Genomic DNA, 19266 nt, shown 5'->3' on the forward strand with positions numbered 1-19266 from the left:
TGTTGAGAAAATATTAGGAAAAGTTGGATTCATTTCTGGGTAAACAAGCCATAGAATAAAGAGAGCATTTAAAGAAGAATCATAGAAGGACAGGTGACATCAGAACAGAATATTCTGGGGAACTGCTGAAAGGGAGAGCTTTACACTTTCATGGATTTCCATGGGACTGTATCAAGACCCTAAGGGACCAATGAGTCCCAGCTGGCATGACCATATGCAATGAAGGGAGAAAAGCCCATCTTTGATTTAAAAGTAGTAAGTTCCATTCAATTCAATTCAAAATGATATCGTTCAAAGTTTGTAAATTTCAGGTTTTGTTACTATTGGTGGCAGGAAATGTACCTCCCTATGTCCTTAAATTGGAGCTTCTATTGTCCCAATTAGATGCCCCATTCATTACTTAGCACTATGGGACTAAAATCTACTTGAGAAGTTTGCAATGAAAGGAAAAAGAAATTCTGAAAATTCACAGGCCATATTTTCTGTAAGTCTTGCTTGAGTGACCATATACCTGAATGGCTAGAACGATGTTTTTTCATTATTTCTCAACAATTAGTAATAATTGTAGGTAGAGAGCATTTGAACCAAGGCAAATTGTCTACAGAATGTGGAAATGGGGTTGAAAAAGGAGCTAGATGAGAGTCATCAAGATGAGGGTGTAGGAACTCCACGAATAGCTAATTTAGGAATGCTAAACAAAATCAAAGATCCGTTAAAATTAGATAATGTAGATTTGTAATTATCCAGGTGTGTCACTAATTCAGCAATGTTCTGTGGGTGGAAAAAGTAGAGTGGTTAAAGTGGAAAATGGAAATTATTCATTCCTGGGAGCTGAGACAGTGAAGACAATGAATATTTTTTTGCCTGACAGGAGTTCAACAAATGTTTCTGAATTGAATTATAAATAGAAGGAATTTAGGCTATAAGTGAAAATGGAACATGATATTTGATGATTATTTTATAAATACTTATTAATATATTGCTATATATTAAAGCTTGTCTTAAGATTATCCCAACTCTTTAATTTGCTTCTTTAATTTGAATTTGTACTTAGGAAGTAAATCTGTATCGTAATAATCATCTCTGAACAAGTTGACTTTCTTGCATGTTTCTATAGCTTGTCATATATTCTGGAAAATGTATTGCTACTTTAGCCTAAAGAATACATGTAAGTCCAACTGTTGATTTTTAGCTGTATATTTTTCTATTGCATTTTTGGAAATGTAAAGAGAAGACCTTGAGTTTGGCACAGACATTAATTTAGTAGAAACCGGGGAAATATTGCTTACCTCTCTCTAACCTTAAAATATTCTTTCTTATATTATAAGAGATGACAGGATTTCAATATTGACTGTCAAGAGTTTATGATGGAACTTGTCTTGGACTCCTCAATTTTAACCTTGGATGTGTTTGGGAATGTGTGGGACAAAGTCAGCACTCTTGGTTAGCAAAAGACAAAGCCTGGAATTTGCCAACTTATATCCTGGAGCGAGAATTTACCCATAGTTATTTCCCTCGTTTGGTACTAGTGATAATTAAGCTAAGCTTAACAGATGGAGTTAACTTAGTGTACTTAGTGTGACTGAATTTAATTAGTATTTTTATGAGTGAGGCTCACTTCAGTTTTTATTTTTAAAAATGATGGAAGAATCTTACAGCAAACATCTTTAGAAAGAGTCTGTATATTACTCTGGTTCTAATTACTACCTAGTAAAATATATACGGGCTTACCAAAAAGTGTGTGTGTGTGTGTGTGTGTGTGTGTGTGTGTGTGTGTGTGTCCCTGTCTGTATGTGATGGTGGGATTGGGGGTAAAGGCAGTAAAGAAAGATTTTGGGAACTGATAAAGGAAAAAAGTTTGTAAGAGCTATAATACAGGAATATATGCACTTTGGGAGGCCAAGGTGGGTGGATCACTCGAGGTCATGAGTTTGTGATCAGCCTTGCTAACATGGTGAAACACCCTCTCTACTGAAAAAAATACCAAAAAAAAAAAAAAAAAAGAATTAGCCAGGTGTGGTAGAGGGCACCTGTAATCCTGTGTCTGGAGTTGGTTCCTGCTGGTGGGTTCGTAGTCTCGCTGACTTCAAGAATGGAGCCACGGAACTTGGCAGTGAGTGTTACAGCTCTTAAAGATGGCAGGAACCCAAAGAGGGAGTGGTAGCAAGGTTTATTGCGAAGAGTGAAAGGACAAAGCTTCCACAGGGTAAAAGGAACCCAAGTTGTTTGCTGCTGCTGGCTGGGGTGACCAGCTTTTATTCCCTTATTGTCCCCTCCCATGTTCCATTTCTGTCCTATCAGAGTGCGCTTTTTTCAATCCTCCCCATGATTGGCTACTTTTAGAATCCTGCTGATTGGTGAGTTTTACAGAGCGCTGATTGGTGCATTTTACAATCCTCTCATAAGACAGGAAAGTTCTCCAAGTCCCCACTTGACCCAGGAAGTCCAGCTGGCCTCACCTCTCAATCTCCCCTCTCAACTGCTGTTGAGAACTGGGCAATGACTGCTCTAGCTACTTCCTGCTGGATAGGGGTGAAGAAGGGGCCCTGCAGTTGTAGTGTCCTCCAGAGGGGAACTCTTTAGACCAGTCAAAGGGCCAGTGGGTCGGTCCAGGTGTCCTCAGTAGAAGTTTTGAGTTGAGCTCATTTGGGGTTCCAGTTGTAAGACCATCTGTAGCTTGATGGCCTTGATCCTGGGGGAAACAAATTTGACAAGGAGGTTAAAAATACAGGGCCTAAAGGCAAGTAATACCAAGATGGCTGTCATGGGACCTAGAAAGGGGAGACGCCATGTCACCCAACTCCAGAGGTTGGTGTCAGAGTTTGAAAGGCATTGTCTGATTTCAGAAGCCTTTTCCTGTAAACACCAGGTGGGTCTCATACTATCCCTGACTGGTTGGTGTAAAAACAACACTCTTTCCCCTAAGAAGGTGCAGAGTACTCCCCTCTCAGCAGTGAGGAGGTCCAGGCCCCAGCAGTCTTGGAGAGTCACCGCTGCCAAAGACTCCACCTGGGATTGCAGAGTAAGGACAGACCCTGTCATTTCCCATAAACTGTATGAGAAATCCTTTGAGAGTGTGTGGTAGTAGGATAATGAAGTAGATAAACTGGCTATTCTGGCTTCTGTAGCAGTAGCCATTCCTAACTGTGTAAGTAGGGGTATTAGTTTTATGGCCCTCTACTGATAGACTTGAGCTTTGAGGGGCACTGATAGGGTCTGATTTCCTGGGGCAATGTCAATGTTGGGACTTAGGAAGACTAAGGTTCAGGTGCCTGTGCAGTTGGTGGGGAGGAAGATATAGGCTGAAGTTCCACATAAGAATATGCCTTGGCTGGGTAGACAGAACTGGTTGTATATGTTAAAGAGGTGTGTGAGTTTGTTGTTTTCATTTTCCCATACTCCTAGAGTACTTGCCAAGGTAGCTCTGGTGAGCAGCTGGAAAGGGGTGTTGGGAGCAAACTGAGTGGCTCTGTATTCTATTTTCCCATTGGAGAAAAAACCATTTTGTATTTACTAGGAACCATTCAAGAGAGTAACTGAAAGAGGGGATAAGAAGGCATTCATTAGTGGGGGAGGCGCTGCTGCAGGGGGTCCAGGGGTGAATGGTCATGCAGGGAGTATGCTTGCCATTACAAAACCCAGACTGTTTGTTAAACAGGGAGAAGGTGATGATTTTTGGGGGCCCTGAGAAGCAGACAAGCTGTTTGAGTGGACCTGTTTAGGTGACTCTGAAGTTACTATGATCAGTTGGGGCTTGAAGTTGTAGGGTGTAATTACATTGATGGGATAGTAGGTGCCCCAGGGGCAGGCCTGGTAACAGGTTGTGTTGGATGCATAAAGGGGCTTGGAAAGTTAAGACAGTAAACATGGTTGATGTGATTAGGATTTTCGTCCTGGCAGGAGCTACAGTATATAGTCCTACTGCAAAGAGTATGGTTAGTATACTGCTTAATAATGTAATGATACAATAAAATGATTCCATCAAAGGGACAAGGAGAGGTGTTAAAGATTACATAGGTTTTCACTTATATTTTTTAAGTAGGAAGGGGTTTTTCCTCAGGATAAGCTGTAGGAGCCTTTTGAGTCTGGGATATTTCCTTCTGAAATAGGAGACGTAAGTCCTCCAATAATTCACAGGTGTATCGAGGCTGGTCTGGCTGATTTTGGGACTCCTGAGCTGATGGTCTTGCAGGTTCCTCAGGGGGTGTCCAAAGTTTAACTCGGGTGTGGTGAATCCAAGATTCCACTCTTGCCACCTTAACTGCAGTGGAAGTAGAGAGGATTACTGAGTATGGTCCTTCCCACAAGTAATCCATAGATGGGGAGGTAGAGGGAAGGGACTTGACCAATACTAGATCTCCTGGTTGGAACAGCTCTGTTCCCTTGTCTCTGTGACATCCTTCATTTAGGGTTTTAAGGTTTTGTTGATATCTTGCCAAAGAAGTTATATCCTTGACCAAGTTGGCCGTTTCCTGATCAAGTAGGAAGTCATTTGTGAGAAAATGTCATCCATACAGCATTTCATATGGACTTACCCCCATTTTGTGAAGAGAATTTCGGATTCTCGACAAGGCCATGGGCAAGAGAATAGGACATGGGAGATGAGTTTCTTGTGTTAGTTTCCTTAAGTGCCTCTTGAGTATTTCATTTACCTCCTTGACCTTCCCTGAGGATTGTGGTCTCCAGGCACAGTGAAGGTTATATTGTATCCCTAGCGCCCTGGAAATTCCCTGAGTTACCATGACTTTAAAAGCCAGACCATTGTCACTTTGTAAGCTTTGGGGGAGCCCAAATCTAGGAATTATTTCATGAATTAGGACTTTAACTACTTCCTGAGCCTTCTCTGTTTGCAGGCTTCTATCCAATTTGTGAAGGTATCAACGCAGACCAACAAGTATTGAAATCCCCTTGACTTAGGCATATGGGTGAAGTCTCACTGCCAGTTGTCTCCGGGATAGTGCCCTATTTTTTGTTCCCCTAGAGGGGCCTTATGAGGGACCAAGGGATTATTGTTTTGGCACACATCACAGGCTTTGACAACTTGTCAGATGGTCTGTAGGAGATTTGGCCCTGTAAATAGGGATTTGGCCATTTGATGAGTGTTCTCAATACCCATATGAAAAGTTTGGTGGAGAGTCTTAAGTATTTTCCACTGGCTGGCTTTGGGTATGAGTACCTTACTCTCTTCTGTCATTAACCACCCTGAGGGGAGAAAACTATCCCCCTGTGAAAGTCCCCATTCTTTTTCAGTCGGGAAATACTGGGGCTTAATCTCTTGGAGAGGGTTGTTCCATACCAAGGGTCCTTCCATAGGTATTTCTAATGGGAAGTTCTGCCTGGCAGCAATTTTGGCGTCAGCGTCTGCCCAATGGTTTTCTTCTGCCTTTTCTCCTTCACCATTTTGATGGCTTTGGCAGTGTAAGACTGCCACCTCTTTGGGTTTTTGCACTGCATGCAATAACTCCATGATTTCTTTGTAGTATTTAATGGGGGTTCCCTCAGAGGTAAGGAACTCCCTTTCTTTCCATATTGTACCATGGGCATGTAGGATTAGAGAAGCATACTTGCTATCTGTAGACACATTTATTCTTTTTTCCCTTCTCAGTTCTAAGGTTCAGGTAAGCACCAGTAGTTCTGCTAACTGGGCGCTGGTCCCTGGGGGAAGAGGCTTACTTTCAAGTACTGTTACATCACTAACTATGGCATAACCTGCCCTTCATATCCCACTCTCCACAAATGAACTTCCATTGGTATATAGGTTAAGGTCAGGATTAGCTAAAGGGACTTCTAAGAGATTCTCTCAGGCAGCATAAGTCTGGGCAACAGTTTGTTGGTAGTCATGCTCGATTGGTTCCCCATCCTCTGGGAGAAAAATAGCAGGGTTGAAGGCTGCACACATGCGAATTTGAAGCATCAGTCCCTCAAGGAGTAGTGCTTGGTATCTAAGCAGGCAGTTGTCTGATAGTCATAAATTTCCTTTGGCAACTAGTATGCCATTTACATCATGAGTAGTCTAGATGGTGAGATCCTTTCCTTGTATTATTTTGATAGCCTTTGATACTAAGATGGCCATTCCTGCAACTATCCGTAAACAGTGAGGCCAGCCGTTTGCTACTACATCAATTTCCTTACTTAGGTATGCAACTGGCTGTGAGGTTGTCACACAAGTCTGAGTAAGGACTCCAAGAGCTATTCCCACTCTCTCTGTGACATATAAAGAGAAGTTTTGTCCTGTGGGAAGGCTTAAGGCTGGAGCTTGTACTAGGGCCTACTTTAAGGTTTTGAAGGCTGTTTCCATCTCTGGTTCCCATTCTCCTAGATGAGTATTTGCCCTCTGGGTCTCCTTGATTAGAGTATAGAGTGGCCTGGCCATCTCGCTGTATCCAGGGATCCATAGTTGGCAAAAGCCAGTGATCCCAAAGAACCCCCGCAACTGTTTTAATGTCTTACAGCAAGGACAAGCCAGTATAGGCTGTATTTGTTCTTTGCTGAGGTCTCTGCTTCCTCTGGCTAAGATTAGGCCTAGATATTTGACTTGTTGTAGGCAGAGCTGGGTGTTTAATTTAGATGCCTTGTACCCTTGATTAGCTAGAAAGGTCAAGAGATCTAGAGTAGCCTGCTGGCAGGAGGCTTCCGAACTGGGAGCCAAAAGTAATTCATCCACATACTGAAGGACCAGAGTGCCTGGACTTGAGAAATGGCCTAGATCTTGGGCCAGTGCATGACCAAACAGATGAGGGCTATCCCTAAATCCTTGGGACAAGACTGTCCACATAAGTTGGGACATGTGGTCTGTGGGATCCTCAAAGGCAAAGAGAAACTGGGAGTCAGAGTGCAGAGGAATGCAGAAGAAGGCATCCTTGAGGTCCAGAACAGTGAACCATTCTGCTTCCTCTGGTATTTGAGAGAGCGGGGTATAGAGGTTGGTTACAGCTGGATATAGCGGAATTACTCCCTCATTGATGAGTCTAAGATTTTGCACTAGTCTCCATTGACTGTTCAGTTTTTGTTCTCCTAGAATTGGGGTGTTGCAGGGACTCCTGCATTTTCTTACTAAGCCTTGAACTTTTAAATGTTTAACAATATCCTGTAATCCTTTACAAACTTCAGGGCTTAGGGGATATTGCCTTTGTAAGGAAAAGCGGTGGGGTCTTTTAGTCTGATTTGGATTGGGTGGGCATTTTTTGCCCTTCTGAATTGTCCTTCCAAGTCCTAGACTTCAGGGTTGTTTCCCTCCTCAAGTAGGGGACAACAAATGGGTAACTTATTCCCCATATTCATGTAGATAATAGCTCCAGCTTTGGCTAATATGTCCCTCCCTAATAAGGGTGTGGGACTTTCAGGCATAACAAGAAAGGCATGTGAAAAGAGCAAAGTCTCCTTACAACTGAGGAGGTGGGAGAAATACCTGGTTACAGGCTGTCCCGGGATTCCTCAGATGGTAATGGACCTTGAGGACAAGGTCCAGGGCAGGAGATTAACACTGATAAGGCCACGCCAGTGTCCAGGAAGAAGTCAATTTCCTGGCCCTCAGTGGTTAAACTTACCTGGGGCTCAGTGAGGGTGATGACATGAGCTGGCACTTGCCCTGAGGACCCTCAGTCCTGTTGTTGGATCATCTGGTTGGGGGCTTCTGGCCCAGAGAACCTTTGTCCTCTTGGGCTGTGCACCTTCCAGTGATTGCCTCGGCATAGTGGACATGGGCAAGGGGGTGGCTTATTTCTCATTGCACATTTTTTTTTAAGTGTCCTTGCAAGCCACACTGATAACAAGCCCTACTAGGTGATTGGCCTACTCCGTTTTCTGTCTTTTCTGAACCACAAAGGTTTGTTTGTCTGAGGGCCATGACTAAGGCTGTGGCCTTTCTCTTATCTTGCTTTTCCTTTTCAGCCTGTTCCTTCCTCTTTGTCCCTATTATAGAACACCAAGGTTGCCAGGTTTAATAATGCCTCCAAATTTTGTTCAGGGCCCAGGACTAGCTTTCGGAGGTTTCTCCTGGTACCTGTGGCTGATTCGGTAATAAGCTTATCTTTTAGGATCAATTGACCCTCAAGGGAGTCAGGTTACAGGGGAGTATATTTTCTTAAGGCCTCCCCTAGCTGCTTGAGGAAAGCAGTAAGATTTTCTTCCTTTCCCTGAGTTATGGTGGACATCATTGAATAATTCATGGGCTTTTTACTAATTCTACTTAGTCCTTCTAGAACACAGGTCAACAGATGTTTGAGACTCCAGTCTCCATGATCTGAGTCTAGGTCCCAATGGGGATCAATACTGGGGACAGCTTGCTGACCAGTAGGGAGTTTGTCCCTTTCTTTGGCTGTCATTCTGTCATTTACTTAAGATACCAGGTATCTCCAAAGTCTCGGGCTGCAGCTAAAGCCACATTCTTTTCATTAAAGGCCAGGGTTTGATCTAATAATAGCATGACACCTCTCCAAGTGAGGTCGAAGGTTTGCCCTAGACCCTGTAGGACATCTATATCCCTATCAGGATTATCTGAAAACTTCCCCAGGTCTACCTTGATCTGCTTTAAGTCAGAGAGGGAGAAAGGGACACGTATCCATGTTGGGCCAAATTCCCCTCCCCCTACAGCTTGAAGGGGACATAACCGATAGCCCAGGGGGTTTTTTGGTCCCTTGGAGATTTCTTTGCTTGTCTCCTTCTGGGTGGGGGAGATTAGAGGAGGCTTATCACTAACAGGAAGGGGAGCTGTAGGGAGGCTAGGATATGAAGGTAAACTGAGAGGTCCTCCTGTGGGATGTAGATTGCAAACTTTGCATAGTTGTGGATTATCCTTCAATGAAAGGAAAGCTTGGACATAAGGTATTTCACTCCATTTGCCTTCCCTCTTACAGAAAAGGTCAAGCTGCAGGAAAGCTGTAATTTATACTTCCCTTAGGTGGCCATTTTTTTTCCATCAGAGAGAGAATATTGGGGCCAGGCCATAGTGCAGAAAAAAAATAAGCAGCTTCTTTTTCAGGGCTTGAGGGTCAAATTGTTCCCAATGGATTCATTTCAAGGGTGAGCTTCTTGATGCCTGAGTGTTTCCCATCTGAAAGAAAAAAAACTGCCTATGGTTTTGTTCTGTTTTTTTTTTCTTCCCCGCCCAATAACCTGCAATGGTCCCTGGACCCTGCTGTTTGGAATAGTTGCGCTCACTGAAGCAGCAGCGGAAACACTTGTTTTCCTCCTAGATCACAAAGAGGACCAAGGAAGGTCGTATTTAGTGGCCCTTACCGACACATTCTCGAAAACCTGCACCCTTGCCTTTCCTCTTAGACCACAAAGAGGACGGAGAAAGGTCGGAGTGGAGGGCCATACCCTGAGGGAGGGAAGGGATCTCCAGCATTGGAAGAGTGATGCCTTTTGTCCTCACTTCTTATCATATGGATAGGAAGGATATACCCCCCAATTTTGGAGTCTATAATTTCTGAGGCTCTCCATATCCTAGCTTCGGGAATAACCTTTTACTCTTAAGCATCTCTTGGAGAAGTCTTACTTATATAAGACTGGTCATAGTAGCCAAGTTTGTATACAAAACAAAAAACCGAACAAACTTAACAAAAATCCAATTCACTACAGACTAGAAAAATGAAAAAACAAAACACACAAACTCCCCCCAAAGTCTTTGTGGTACATACATATAATGAAATCTCATAAAGCAGTAAAATGAATGAATTAGTCATTAAATCTCATGTACACAATGTTGAATACAACAAGAAAAGCAAGTTACAGAATCCATAAGAATCACTTCATTTCTATAAAGTTTAAAATATAAAAAACTAAAATGGTCTTTGTAAATGAATACATATATCTTTGATAAATCTGTAATGAAAACCAAGAGAATACTAGCAACAAAATTCAGGATAATGGTTACTTATCTTGGAATGAGGGACATGTCACCTAGAGAAATAGTTGTACAGTAGCTGGTAAGGTTCCATTTTTAAAAACCTGGGTGGGTACATTAAGATTCATTTTTGTTACTCTTTAACTTGCAATATATTATGAATATTCTTTTTTATTTGTTTAATAATTAATATAAACAATACCAAAAACCTTAAAATGTCAACATCAGAGAAAGGAAAAATTGCCTTTTTAATTACTAGTTCTATAGTGTAACAATCCAATTGAGTACATTATTTTATGTATCTCTATTATTTATCTGGAATAAAAATTAATCCATAAATAATTGGATGTTATGCCAAAATGCATGAACAGATTCATAGTCTATTCATATATTGTACAGTGGCTACTTGATAGGATAAAAACATTTTTAAACAAAAATTTAGTATCTATAGAAGTTTATTTTACAGGAGAATGCCTGATACCTTCTCCCTGGAATATTCTTTGTCTAGCTCCTTTTCATTTTTTTATGTCTCAGCTTAAATCCTTCTGTCCCTGACATATAACATCTTTTCCTGGCAAGCAAAGTAGGTCCCCCATTTTTATATTGTAATGGTACCTATGATTATTTTTCACAACACATATAAATTTTCATATTATTTTTAACAGCTTTAAATTACATATTTATGGAACTGATTATTCTATCAGTGCCTTCGTGCATTCATATGTAAGGAACATAACGACAGAAGTATGGCTGATTTTTGTATATTGAACTTTTATACCAATTTTATTGTCAGTTATAATATCTGTGGATTCTTTTGGATATTCCATATATAAGATCACGTCATCTGCAAAAAATAACAGCTTTACTTGTCCTTTCCAATTCTTACATTTTGTAGTTATTTTAATTTTAATGCTTAGGACCTTCACTAGAATGTTGAATCAATTAAAGCAATATCCATGACGTTTCTGATTCCAGGGGCAAAGTTTTCAAAATTTCACCTTCAGTATAATATTTGCTGTATTTTGTGTAAATAATTTTGTCATATTAAGTTTCATTTCTCTTTCTAGTTTGCTAACAGTTTGTATTACAAATAGATATTGAACCATATGAGGTGTTTTTTTAGATACCCATTATTTTTTCCTTACGTATTTTGTTAATGGGTTAAATAACAATCCTGGAATAGTATTCCTGATATATTCCCAAATAGCGTAGGCTTTGTTATCTTCTAAAATTATCCCTGGATTTAGTGTTAATATTTTGTTTAGAAATTTTGCATCTATAATCAGTGACACTGGCTTGTAATCTTCCTTTCTGGTAATTTCCTTACCTGCTATTGATATCAAGGCTAGGCTGGCCTCATAAAACTTGCTGGAAACTACATATGACTTTTGTATTTTTCTGGAAGCATTTGGGTTTGTTTGTTTGTTTATTTATTTATTTATTTATTTATTTATTTATTTTGAGACAGAGTCTTGCTTTGTTGCCCAGGCTGGAGTGCAATGGCGTGATCTCAGCTCACTGCAAGCTCCACCTCCTGGGTTCACACCACTCACCTGCCTCAGTGTCCCGAGTAGCTGGGACTACAGGCACCCACCACCATGCCTGGCTAATTTTTTTGTATTTTTAGTAGAGACAGGGTTTCACTGTGTTAGCTAGGATGGTCTCGATCTCCTGACCTCGTAATCCACCTGCCTGGTCCTCCCAAAGTGCTGGGATTACAGGCATGAGCCGACATGCCTGGCTGGGTTTATTTATTAAGAGTTTGTTAGAATTCACCAATAGGACCATTTTGACAAGGAGTTTTCTTTGTAGGAAGGTTCTTAGTTGTATTCTTTAAAATATTTGAACAATTAAAATGTTATATTTCTACTTGTGTCAGTTTGGTAATTTGTAGTTTTGTAAGTATTTGTTCATCTAAATTTTCAAATTTATTGGCATGAAGTTTTCATAATATAATCTTTCTATCTTTTTCTATCTGTGGGATCTGTGTTGAAGTCTTCTTTTCCATTTCTGATGTAATTTATGTCTGCCTTTTCTGTTTTTGTTCTCAAAAATTTTTTGCCAAATTTATTATACATTATTTTTGCAAGATTATTAGATTTCTAAATAACTAAATTTTGGTTTTATTACTCTAACAATTTTTATCCTTTATTATATATTTCCTTATACTTATTTTGAGTATAACTTACTCTTTCTTTTTCTCATTTTTTGAGATCTGATCTTAGCTCATGAATTATCAGCTTTTCTTTTTTAAAAAACATGCATTTGGGGCTGAGCATAGTGACTCATGCCTGTAATCCTAGCACTTTGGGAGGTGGAGGCAGGAGTGGATCACTTTGAGCTCAGGAGTTTGAGACTAACCTGGCCAACATGGCAAAAACCATCTCTTAAAAAAAATTAGCTGGGCATTGGTGTTTTGCACCTGTAGTACCAGCTACTTGGGAGGGTGAGGTGGGAGGATTGCATGAGCTGGGAGGCAGAGGTTGCAGTGAGCTGAGATCATGCCATTGCACTCCATCCTGGGTGACAAAGATCCCTTCTCAAAAAAAAATGCATTTAAAGCAATATATTTCTTTCTAATTTGTTTTATCTGTGCCTCTTTATTACTAACTGAAAAATCCTTAAGATAGCCAACTGAAAAGGGAGAGCTACGTAATATAGCTTATTACTAAAGAAAAAGGGAAAAAATTTTTCTATGCAACCACAGTGATCATTCAAATTATAAAATTAAAAACTCCTAATTACATTAGATACAGAAATATTATCACACATACAAGTAACATGACAATACAAATGTTATGTATTTTGGAAAAATCTTATCATGGAACATGTAGAATTTGTTTGGAAAAAAATCTATATGGATTGAGGCCAGGCATGGTGGCTAACACCTGTAATCCCAGCACTTTGAGAGGCAGAGGTGGGTGGATCACGAGGTCAGGAGAACAAGACCATCCTGGCTAACACTGTGAAACCCCATCTCTACTAAAAATGCAAAAAACAATTAGCCAGGTGTGGTGGTAGGCGCCTGTAGTCCCAGCTACTCAGGAGGCTGAGGCAGGAGAATGGTGTGAACCCAGGAGGCAGAGCTTGCAGTGAGCTGAGATCGTACCACTGCACTCCAGCCTAGGTGACAGAGCAAGACTCCATCTCAAAAAAAAAAAAAAAAAAATCTATAGGGATTAAGAATAATCTAAAGAATTAGGTTACCAAATTAGACTTACAGGAATCAGATTTTACCCAGTATCAAGTTTTATTAAAAATTCAAAGGTACAGGTAATTGTGAAAAGCAGAAGGATGCAAAAAGTTTTTCCAGCTCTACTAGCTGTGAGAGTTTAGAAAATTTATATAAACTCTTTTAGTTACAATTTCCTTATTTTATAAACTGAGGATAATATTGCCTACTCACATGGTGTATTGTGTATTCATCTGTTCTCACACTGCTAATAAAGATATACCTGAGACTGAGTAATTTATAAAGGAAAGAGGTTTAGTTGACTAACAGTTCCACATGGCTGAGGTAGGACTCACAATCATGGTAGAAGGTGGAGGAGGGGCAAAGTCACATCTTACATGGCAGCAGGCAAAGACAGAACTTGTGTAGGAGAACTGTCCTTTATAAAACCATCAGATCTCATGAGACTTACTATCATGAGAACAGCATGGGAAAGACCTGCCCCCATGATTCAGATACCTCCCACTGGGTCCCTCCCACAACACGTGGGAATTAAGGAGCTACAATTCAAGATGGGATTTGGGTGGGGACACAGCTAAACCATATCATTCTGACTCTGGCCCCTCCAAAATCTCATGTCCTCCCATTTCAAAACCAATTGTACCTTCCCAACAGTCCCCCAAAGTCTTAACTCATTTCAGCATTAACTCAGAAGTCCAGAGTCCAAAGTCTCATCTGAGACAAGGCAGGTCCCTTCTGCCTATGAGACTCTGAAATCTAGGCAGAGGTTCCCAAACCTCAATTTTTGACTTCTGTGCACCTGCAGGCTCAACACCATGTGTAAACTTGCACCCTCTGAAGCAACGGTTTGACCTCTACGTTGGCCCCTTTTGGCCATGGCTGGGACACAGGGCACCAAGTCCTGAGACTGCACAAAGCAGCAAGGCTCTGGGCGAGACCCATGAAACCATTTTTTCCTCCTAGGCCCTGTGGCTTGTGATGGTGGGGGCTGCCATGAAGATCTCTGACATGGCCTGGAGACATTTTCCCCATTGTCTTGGAGAGTAACATTTGGCACCTTGTTACTTATGCAAATTTCTGCAGCCACCTTGAATTTCTCCTCAGAAAATAGGTTTTTCTTTTCTACTGCATTTTCAGGCTGCAAATTTTCTGAACTTTTATGCTCTGCTTCCCTTTTAAACATAAGTTCCAATTCCAAACCATATCTTTGTGAATACATAAAGCTGAATGCATTTAATAGCACCCAAATCAGCTCTTGAACACTTTGCAGCATAGAAATTTCTTCTGCTAGATACTCTAAATCATCTCCCTCAAGTTCAAAGTGCTATAGATCTCTAGGGAAGATGCAAAATGCTGCCAGTCTCTGCTAAAACATAGCAAGAGTCACCTTTATTTAAGTTTCTGACAAGTTCCTCATCTCCATCTGAGACCAACTCAGCCTAGACTTTTTTGCCCATATCACTATCAGCATTTTGCTCAAAGCCATTTGACAAGTCTCTAGGAAGTTACAAAATTTCCCACATCCTCTTGTCTTCTTCTGAGCCTTCCAAACTGTTGCAAACTCTGCCTGTTACCCAGTTCCGAAGTCACTTCCACACTTTACTGGTACCAATTTACTGTATTCATCTGTTCTTACACTGCTAATAAAGACATACCCAAAACTGGGAAATTTATAAAGGAAAGAGGTTTAATAGACTCACAGTTCCACATGGCTGGGGAGGCCTCACAATCATGTTCAAAGGCAAATGAGCAAAGTCATGTCTTACATAGGAGCAGGCAAATAGAGACCTTGTGTAGGCGAACTCTCCTTTATAAAACCATCAGATCTTGTGAGACTTACTCACTATCATGAGAACAGTCCAGGAAAGATCTGCCCCCATGATTCCTTTATCTCCCACTGGGTCCCTCTTGTGATACATGGGAATTATGGGAGCTACAATTCAAGATGAGATTTGGGTGGGGACACAGCCAAACCATATCACATGGTTAGTGTTAACAGGATGATGTGCATATAAGGTTACCAGAGTAGCCAGCACATTTAAGAATGCAACAAGTTATATATTAATGTGATAATTTAGTATTGCTGTTATGATTCCACATATCTTATATTTAATTTTAATCTTCCTATGTATATAATTAAAGGTCTATTATCAAGATGTAATCCAGATTCATTTCTGCAACCTGCCTTACTATTTTTTTCTTAAACACAGACAGCACTTGTTGTATTTCTCGCCTATGAGTTTTCAATGACCTTTTAATAGAAATGCTTAATTCTAGAAATATGAATGGAAAATGGTCATTTATTTGTACATCTCTTAGGGATTTAGGTGTATAACATACCATAGCACAAGAATAAGATATGGTGGCTATCTTCCAAGATGTTTATAGATTACCAGTGGTAAATAAAAGTTAAATAATATAATTTTATCCTTGGTGCTAAAAAAAAACACTGAAAAACAAATGTGTGAGTATAAATGATGTTAGCCATTGACTTGAAATATTTTCCTAAATAACATAAGCCTAATATATTATGAAAGGTGTTTCAATTGCTCAGGACAGTTATAATACATATAATCAAATTCTATACATTGAAAATATTTCATATATTCCAAGTTCTACATGTAACAGAATGACATATATAACTGTACTATGGAGATTGAAACATTCTAATGCATTTAAAAAGAATATGTTCTGAAAATGACAAATTTTCTCAAAACAGTGCATTTATACTCCTGCAATATAGTAAAAGTCCCTGTAAATAATTTTTATGCAGTATACAACAGCATAAAATACTATATTTTCTTGTTCAGGGAACTCAATGAAGGCAAAGAGGAAAGTCAACATCAACAACCTGATGATTCTAACAATATAGCTGTCCATGTTCAGAGAGCACATGGTGGCCATATTTTATATAGACCAAAAAGAGCCACAGAGAAATTTGAAGAATTCCTAGCTATCTTAAAGAAATTGTAAGTATTTAAAATATATTCCTTCTTCTAATTGAGTAATTCTTTTGAATGGCTTTATTTTTTAAAGTTTATTGTTTGTGGGTAAGTGTACTTTAGTTATGATACAGCACTCATGGTTGATTCAGGAGAGATGGACACACTGGAGACTTTGTTTCTATATAAATACAGTCTTCATGAATTCAGTCTTCAATGGTGTATCACGGATATAATGCTAAACTTGTGACCCATTATTTTAAAATTAAACTGCAAGCAAAATATATATTATTTACTGATATTTCAAAATTCTGTTAAAGATGTCCTTAGCTTGGGTTATCGGAAGGCTCTTCACAAACTGTCTTCCTCATCCAGGAGTCTTTAAATAAACTTACCACATGTTACTTTTTTTTTTTTTTTTTTTGAGACTGTTGCTCTTGTGCCCCAGGCTGGAGTGCAATGGCACAGTTTCGGCTCACTGCAACCTCTGCTTCAATGGCGCAATCTCAACTCACTGCAACCTCCGCCTCCTGGGTTCAAGTGATTCTCCTGCCTCAGCCCCCCAAGTAGCTGGGATTACAGGCACCTGCCACCACGCCTGGCTAATTTTTGTATTTTTAGTAGGGACAGGGTTTCACCATGTTGGCCAGGGTGGTCTCGAACTCCTGACCTCAGGTGATCTGCCTGCCTCGGCCTCCCTCGGCCTGGGATTACAGGTGTGAGCTTCCGCACCCGGCCCCATTCCTTTTAATTTTCTAGAATACTTTGTGCTCTGATAGGGACACAACTGCCTGAAGAAGGAGGGGTGTGGAGGAGAAGATTAAATCTGAGTGTAGGCTGATTACCAAAGATGGTATTGGATTTGTGAATAAAATTAAACGAGTACCATGAAAATTATAGAAGAAAATCTTAACCACCTGTCATAGGGGAGTAAAATTAAACTTGTAAGCTGAAAAAATAGGAAATTCAACTAGAATATGTGATATTAGAATTGAGATTGATAACAGGAACAAAACCAAAAGTGTCAAGACTAGGAATGTTTTCAGAAAAAAATCAATAGCAGGGAATGAGTAATTAAAAATTTGACATTTATGTTCTGAAGAATGAACTTTTTCTTTGTTTAGATACAAAAATACCATTGTGGTATAACTGCCTACAGTATACAGTACAGTAACATGTTTTGCAGGTTTGTAGCCTAGGAACAACAGGCTATACCAGCTGGCCTAGGTGTGTAGTAGACTACACGATCCAGGTTTAAGTGTACTCTATGATGTTTACAGAATGACAAAATCGCATGATGACAGATTTCTCAGAATGTATCCCCGTTGTTAAGTGACACATGACTATGATTGCAAATTTGAGGAAATATGATCAGAGCTTCCAGAAAATTTGAGAATGGTCAGATTTTTATACTCTTAACTTATAATAACAAAAAGGAAACAATGAATACTAATCACTTTTTAGTAAAGCAGGTATGAGGGAATTATAGAAGGAAATCTTAACCACCTGTCATAGAAGAGTAAAATTAAACTTGTAAGCTGAAAAAATTAGGAAATTCAACTAGAATATGCTCACTAAATTCGTTAAAAATATTCTTTAAGTGGTAGAAAATCGCTAAAACACTGAAAGTGATCTAAGGCATACTATGCTACAATCACTTTAATTCCATTAAACTCTAATGTTGATTAATATTGCATCAGATTCCAAAATTTTAGTTTCCAGAAACCCATGAATCACTCTGCTGATTTCAGGTTGTGCTGGGCTGTAAGAGTTTTAATGGCAGTGGTAATTCCTGTCTTTTTTACTATAGTGAGATAGCAGTTTCCAGATAACAAAGTTTCTGATCTGAGATGTGGGAGGTCAGTAACAGGGACTTCCAAGCAGCTATGATTCTGCACTGCAATGTCAAAATACCAGGAGGTAAATCTAGGTCAATGTCAGGATGGAAACTACAAATGGGTAAGAAGCCTAGTACCTTCTTAACAGTGGACTACCGCGAAAAGCAGGAGCCATGGTAGAAGGTGGTCCAAGCACAGTGAATAATAGACAAGTTACTTTACTTTGCTACATTCTTTTGTGGACCTCCATGGATGCTATTTAATGGCCTGTTTCCAAACACCCAGGACAATAGATGTTGGGTCAGTATCAGTTTCCAGAACCCACTTCCTCACTCATGTGTGAGAAAATGGATGAGTAGAGAAGATCCTGATGTACTATACGTCCCCCCTTTCAGTGGCTCAGAATTGGGCAGCCAGGACTTTGACATGGCAAAACTCACTGCTGTCAATGGGTGGGCTGTGACAGCCACCAAATTACAGTAGGAGAGTAAATGAGAAGGAAATTCATTTTTATGAGATGTTTAATATTAACAGAAAGCCTTAAGCTCTCTATAAAAAATTTGTGATTTAATCCTCACATCAATGCTTTGAGGTAGCTATGACAAACTATTAATAGTAAGTAAAAGATCAATGTATGCACTAAATCCACAATCTATGTTTGTTCTATAGCACATGCCTTTTCTCTCCTCTTCTCCTTGGGACACTAATGTATTAGCTTCTTATTGTTCTGTAATTAATTAACATAAACTTAGTGGCTTACAACAACATAATTTAGTATCTCTCAGGGTGAGGTTTATCTGGTCCTCTGCTCAGTGTCTCACAGATCATCAGAGTGTCCACTGGGCTGTGACCATTTCTGGAGCATAGGATCCTCTTCCAAGCTCAAATGGTTGTTGGCAGGATTCAGTTCCTTGTGGTTGTAGGACTGACATCCCCACTTTCATGATGGCTTTCAGCAGGGGGCCCCTCTTTCTACTAGAGACTCCCTAGATCCTTGCCATGTGGCACTTTCTCAAGCTCTGTTAGCAACACAAAAGCTTAAATTTTCAAAGCTAGCAAGGGAGAGTCTGTTTCTCTCTCTGTTATTCTGACTAGGTGAAGTGTGATATAACCTAATCAGGGGCCTATATATCCCATCGGGTTTTGCAGTATTCCCAAATCATAGATTCTGCCCCCACTCCCAACATTTAAGGAAAGGGGATTGGGTGTTCCCTTAGTCACATTTAGTAACATCATCAGTCTATTTCTGACTCTGTTAATTGCATTAGCAATGGGGTTGTATGCTTTATAAACACAACACTAAAGTAATTCAATTAAAATCTATTTATTGATGGATAAGTTGTCAGGTCTGTGGCCTTTTGTTTATCTCTGACTAATTAAACCATGATCAGATTGACGGGCTGTTTAAGTGATGTTATCTAATGAACTTTTGAAAATGTTACCTTC

General features: G+C 39.9%; 1 protein-coding gene across 4 annotated transcripts in view; it reads left to right on the top strand.

The window, feature by feature from the left end:
• Positions 1-19266, top strand: part of CNBD1 (cyclic nucleotide binding domain containing 1) — a 562238-nt gene that overhangs the window by 57331 nt on the left and 485641 nt on the right. For all 4 annotated transcript variants that reach the window (NM_173538.3, XM_047421411.1, XM_024447082.2 and 1 more), the window contains one exon: positions 15851-16009. In NM_173538.3, the coding sequence (NP_775809.1) occupies positions 15851-16009 (159 nt within the window). The remainder of the gene's footprint in view (positions 1-15850; positions 16010-19266) is intronic.

This window comes from Homo sapiens, chromosome 8 (genome assembly GCF_000001405.40).
Source record: "Homo sapiens chromosome 8, GRCh38.p14 Primary Assembly".
Taxonomy (NCBI): Eukaryota; Metazoa; Chordata; class Mammalia; order Primates; family Hominidae; genus Homo; species Homo sapiens.